This window comes from Homo sapiens, chromosome 2 (genome assembly GCF_000001405.40).
Source record: "Homo sapiens chromosome 2, GRCh38.p14 Primary Assembly".
In the NCBI taxonomy this organism is placed as follows: Eukaryota; Metazoa; Chordata; class Mammalia; order Primates; family Hominidae; genus Homo; species Homo sapiens.
In genome coordinates, this window is record NC_000002.12 from 105,116,526 (window position 1) to 105,122,523 (window position 5,998).

Below are 5,998 nucleotides of genomic sequence, written 5' to 3' on the forward strand. Positions count from 1 at the left end.
TTTGAGAGATTGCATTTTCCAAAGGCTGTGGCTTCCCCATGGCCCTGTGCAGTGCCTGCCCAGCCACTCTCCTCTCTGGTCTGAGGCAGCCCTCCTCTACTGAAGGGGAATGCTCGTAAACTTGAGCTCCTCCTCTTGTCCTCTGACCTCCCAGGCCTGGTCCCCCTGACCACCTTTCTGCACTGGTTTTTGTCTCTCTAACTGTGAATGAGCTCAAGATCTTCCATTGGCCTCCCGCAGGCCAGGCCTTAGGAACTACTGCCTGTTCCCCTAGTCCCCGGATGCACACTTCTCCTGACGTCTATACTCCATGTACACCCACACTCTCCTTTATGCCTCAGTCCGGGGCAAGATGGCCCCTGCTCCTACCCTTTCCAAAGAATGTCCCTTTGTAAGGTCACCAGCAATGTTGCCTGCAGAAGTCAGTGGGCACTGTTTTGGTCCCATTTAATTTGATCTCTTTGAGGCATTTGATACCATCCTTCCAGAAATATTTCCCCCACCTTGGCTTCCATATCCTTCTACCCTTCTGATGCTTCCCACCAAATGCCTGCTGTCCCCTCTTTGTTGAACCAGTCCCTAACCATTGGTTTTCCCCCAGAAGGGAGCACAGTGCAGGTTAATGCACGTGTGGCAATGCAGTGGGGCCTCACCCACTCTCTGCTGTCATGTCAGTTCTGAAATTTATAAGCCCTAGTGTGTTCTCACTGCCCCAGCTTTTCAACTCCCCATTCCTGGGTTTCAATTTCCACCTCTTCTTTTCAGTTCCACACACATGATCCATGGACAAGCTCATCTACTTCCAAGATTCCAACTCTCCCCTATGCTAATGACTTCTCAATCTGTGTCTCCAACAAGATCTTTCTGTTGAATTTGATTCATACCATATGAGTTGGGCACCTGTATCCAAATGTCCTGTGGAATCTCAGATTCAGCAGGTACTGGATAGAATCATTCTTTTCCCCTTCCACTACACCTGCCAATTTACCCATGTTCTCTTAGTCAATGGCACCACTCTCCACCTAGGTGATCAAGTTCAAAAGCTGTCTGTCATCCTAGACCCCTCCCCTTCCTCATACCCACAGTCACTCCGGGGAGCTTGTCCATCTCGCTCCCTAAGAATCTCAAGTCTCTGGCCACATGCCTATTCTTTATTGCTTCCTGAGCTCAGTTCACAGCTCTTGTCAGCTCCTGCCTGTATTATTCCCATGGCCCAGCAACAGCCTCCATGCATTATCTCACCCCTCCCAGTCTGCCAGGAGAGGCCATGTGGTACAGTGTGAGTGCCGAGGCTCTGCAAGCTGACTGTCCAGATGCAGTTCCTGGCTCCGTCTTCTGCTGTCTGCAAACCTGGGTAGGTTCCACTGGCTCCTAAGTAAGATGGAGATAATAACAACATCAACCTCAAAAAAGTAGGTGTGAGGATGCGGCGGTTGTGAGGATTAAATGAGTTGATGCACGTCAAGTACTTTGCGCAGCACCTAGCACACATTCAGTATTAGTTGTATTATCATCATCATCATCATCTTCTGCACCAGCAGGGAGCTCTTTCTAAAGGGTTTTTCCAACCACTATCCTGCTCAAAACCCATCCATTTGAACAGATATTTGTACCCGTGTTCTTAGCAGCATTATTCACAACAGCCAAAAGTGAAAACAACCCAATGAGCATCGAGGGATGAGTGGATAAGCAAGACGTGGTGTATCACACAATGGAATGTCATCCAGCCTTTAAAGGGAAGGAGATCTGACACATGCTGCGGCGTGGACAGACCTGGAGGATGCTGTGCTGCGGGAGACAGGCCAGTCACAGAAAGACAAATACTGTGTGATCCTACTCACAGGAAATACCTAGAGTGGACAGTCCATAGAGACAGAAAGTAGAATTGTGATTGCCAGAGGCTGGGGAGAGGGGAGTAGGGAGTTATTGTAGAATGGTTACGTTTAGTTGAATTACAATGGTTGAATTTAGTTGAGGAAGATGGAAAACTTCTGGAGATGGATGGTGGTGATGGTAGTGTGACAATGTGAATGTACTTAATGCCACTGAACTTGTGCTTAAAATGGATAAAAGGGTAAATTTTATGTTATATACATATATATATTTGTGTTATGTATTTATACATATTTATAAATTTATATATATATACATTTATGTTATGTATATTTATATGTTTATGTTTTTATAACATAAAAATATACATTGTATATATTTTTAATACATATAAAATATACAAATTATATATAATTTAAATTATATATAAAATATTGTATATTTTATATTAAATATTTTGTATATAAAATATTTGCATAACAAAATAAAATATGTTATATATAAAACAAAATGTATATATAATGTATGGTATTATATATTAAATATGCATACATATATAGTTTATGTGCATATGTACATATTTTTAAAACCACAATAAGAAAAATTCAATTGAAAAAAATACCCTTCAGTGTCTCCTCTCTGCCTACAGACGCAGCTGAGAGGCCAGGGCATGGGCGGAGCCCTGGGGGATCTGTCTCAGTTCACCTTTCAGGCCTTGTCGCCTGCTCTTCCTGGCTGCAGCGACACAACGCTATTGTGGTCTCTGGGGCCGTGACCTTGGCCAACACCCTGCCTCTGCCCGGCTCTCCCGTGGTCCCCGGCCTGGCCCTCCGCGTCCGTGGGACTGGATCCACAGCGCCGCCTTCAGGAAGCGAGGCCTCCATGCAGCCCCAGGAGGGCCCTGAGCACGCGCACTCACCGCACATGCCCACCCCAATGCGTGGGCATCCACTGCGCGTCTCCCTTACGTGACTCAGTTGTCGTCTCTGCCTCAGCCCAGTCTGTGATGGAGAGTAAAACATCAACTCACATTTGCCAAATGAGGAAATGAAGAAATGAATCTTCTCAAGACAAAGGCTATAGCAAGGCGGTCATATTCCTTGGTTTCATTATGTCCCTTGGCTGTGGAATAAATGGCAGTTTTTAATTTCTCTAAATGCTAATCATAGTAATTATCCTCTAGTCCATCTACTTAAACTTCCTTCTCACCCTAACAACTGCTGACAGTGTTTCACTGTGGAAATGTTTTTGACGAGAGTGTGCTTGCAGGACCATCCTGGCTGCCTCCTCGTCAGGAAGACTGGTTTAGATGAAGCTGACTTGAGAGAAAATTGGGCAAACGTTGCAAGTGCAAGATAATCTGATGCCCCCTCCCCATACCTTGTCTCTCCAGCACTAGTGTATATTTGAAACAATTATAGGCATTACCGTAAATTCAGCAGTAAGCAGAGAAACTGAAGAGCTGTTCACCAGGGAATGCCCCATGTCACTTGTGAAGTGGGCAGCATGTCCTGTGCTATGCCCGAGCTCTCAGACAACCTCAACACAGCTCAGTTCCTACTAATGGGAAGAACCAGGGGCTCGGGATGAATGCAGAGAATTTACACGTCTTCATGCCCTGTTAACTGAAAAAAAGAGCTAACTTCTCTCTCTTTCCAACTTGATTCACCCATAGAGATAAGAAGCAAGACTTTTATAACAGAAATGGCAGAGTCAAAGTGGATGGACTTCAGGGAAAAGCCATTTGTATTTGAAGATCTATGGAGATGTTTGCAGCAGGATTACTGGAGTCCTGTCCCCAATCTCTGAAACCCACACAGATGATGAACACTTCTGTGAGGACACTTGGTTTCATAGAATGAATGGAGCTATCTGACTGTAAATTCCTCTTTTGTAAAATGAATTAGGTTTTCTCTGGGGCATTATTCAACTTTTGAAAGTGTATTTTCACACTCCCTGTAATTCCTACTTTGTGCAGAGCTTTGCTTCAGCTCTGAACGCAGGGCTATCTAACTAAGCATTCACTTCTACCCTTCACTCATTAAACTCAACAGTCAACACAAGTTGACTCCCAAGTTGTGAGGTGAATATACATGTCTACAATGCATAGACTGTAACCTGCCCATATAAAACCTGTTCCTGGAGACCACGTAGAGACCTGAGGCCCCGTGCTTTCCTATATGGGGATGAGGATGGTCTCCAAAATCAGTCTCAAAATCAGAGCTGGACTTGATTTCTAGCCTTGCCAATAGACTTTCACTTGGACAAGCCAGCATATGGCATTGTGGAATGTTAGAAATGATTCTTGTTGAACTCTCATTTAGGGAAGGGGAAATAAGTCATTGAGTCCCCTGAGAACACACAGCAAGTTGGTTGGTGCTGCCAAAACAAGAAGGCAGGTTTCCCACCTCCCAACTCTGAGCTCCTGATACTACGTTTCAGCAACCATAATATTCATGGAAAAGCGAGTCCTGGCCAGGAACAAGGTCAGAGGTCCCAGATAGGCCCCAGGCACCACGGAGTTCCTGGGCTTGTGGGATCCTCCCCACACCTTAGGGCCATGGACAAACTTGTTTATTTGTTGACTCAATCATTCACACATTCTCCAGCCATTTACTCTTTCATTCAACTGGGAGGTAGCACAGCCTGAGTCCAGATCTGAACCGCTTGGCCTGAATCCCGGCTCTGCTACCTACTTGTGTGATCTTGGGCATGTTATTTGCCTCCCCTTGCATCACTTTTCTTAACTGTAAAATGAGAATTACAGTATTATTGACTTCATGAAGTGGTTATAAGAAATAAATTAATTAGCATATATAAACTGCTTAGAACGGTGCCTGGCACATAGCAAGTTGTAGAGAAGTCTCTAATCCAGCACTAAGTTGTAGGAGAAATACCTCCAAGTTCTAGAAGGAATGCATAGGCTGGTCTGTTTGAGGGCGCTCTCTCAGCATCTTTGGCACTGCCAGCAGCAGTGATGATGAAAGCACCTACCTGTCAGTCAGAGAGGCCTAGGTTTCACAGAGCAGATGAATTTAGGGGTCACAGAAGGTTTTGGTTTATCTCAGTCCTCACGTATCTCTGAGCTTGAAATGAACCAAGATAAATGAATATAAGATTTCAAACAATATTTTGATATTATGCACATAAGATAGAAAGGTTTTGTTTAAAAACATTAGCATAAGTAGAATATAAGGTTTATGGGTTTTTCTAATGAGAGAGGCAAGAAATGAAGCCGAGTGCTAATTTCTGCCGATTCATCGAAATGATAAGAGGCGTTAAAATGTTGTTAGGAGGAAGTGTGCTGCTCTCCGCCGGGGTCTGGCAGAGTCTCTGCATTTAAACAGAGAAATTTCTCTCTACTTCTGTTCTCAAAAGGCATTTCGGATGTGAGAGAATCTTCTTGAAAAATTAATAAATTAAATAGAAAACTGCTTATCATAACAAGAACTTTTCCTGATTATCCACTGATTCGCATTATCTACAAAGCAGGAAATAATTTCATAAAAGGCTTTTATTTTTAATTTTGTTAAGTGGGGGGGGCAGTTATTTTTGCAAGTACTGATGAATATGGCTTTTTAAAATTTTTTCTTTAACTTAAAATATTTTTTATTTCAATTTGGGAATGACTAAAGCTGCTATGAGCATCCATGTACCTGTCTGGGAGTGAGCATAGGTCTTCATTTCTCTGGAATAAATGCCCAAGACCACAATTGTGTGGTAATTGCATGTTTAGTTTTGTAAGAAACTACCAAACTGTTCCCCAGTTGGCTGTGCCATTTTATGTTCCCACCAGCAATGTATGAGTGGACCAGTTTCACAGCATCCTCACTAGCCTTTGGTGTCATCACTATTTTTTATTTTAGTCATTCTTCCAGGTCTATATTGATATCTAATTATGGCTTAATTTGCATTTCCCTAGTGGTCAGTGATGTTGAGCATCTTTCCACTTGCCTGTTGGCCATCTGTATCCTCTTCAGTGAAGATGTGTTATGTCTCTGTCCATATCTTTTGCCCATTTTCTAATTGGATTGTTTTTGTTTTTGTTTTGTTGTTGAGTGTTGAGAATTCTATATTCCAGATACTAGTCTTTTATCAGAAGTGGGATTTGCAAATATTTCCTCCCACTCTGTAGCTCATCTTTTCATCCTCTTGCCAGGATCTC

The 5,998-nt window shown here is 43.2% G+C and overlaps 2 annotated features.

The window, feature by feature from the left end:
• Positions 2,246-2,747: an enhancer, noted in NCBI's record as "H3K4me1 hESC enhancer chr2:105735229-105735730 (GRCh37/hg19 assembly coordinates)". NCBI's record gives its function as "activates a minimal SCP1, AML or CMV promoter by ChIP-STARR-seq in naive H9 embryonic stem cells {active_cell/tissue: H9 hESC(naive)}" and the evidence as "EXISTENCE:reporter gene assay evidence [ECO:0000049][PMID:30033119]".
• Positions 2,748-3,247: an enhancer, noted in NCBI's record as "H3K4me1 hESC enhancer chr2:105735731-105736230 (GRCh37/hg19 assembly coordinates)". NCBI's record gives its function as "activates a minimal SCP1, AML or CMV promoter by ChIP-STARR-seq in naive H9 embryonic stem cells {active_cell/tissue: H9 hESC(naive)}" and the evidence as "EXISTENCE:reporter gene assay evidence [ECO:0000049][PMID:30033119]".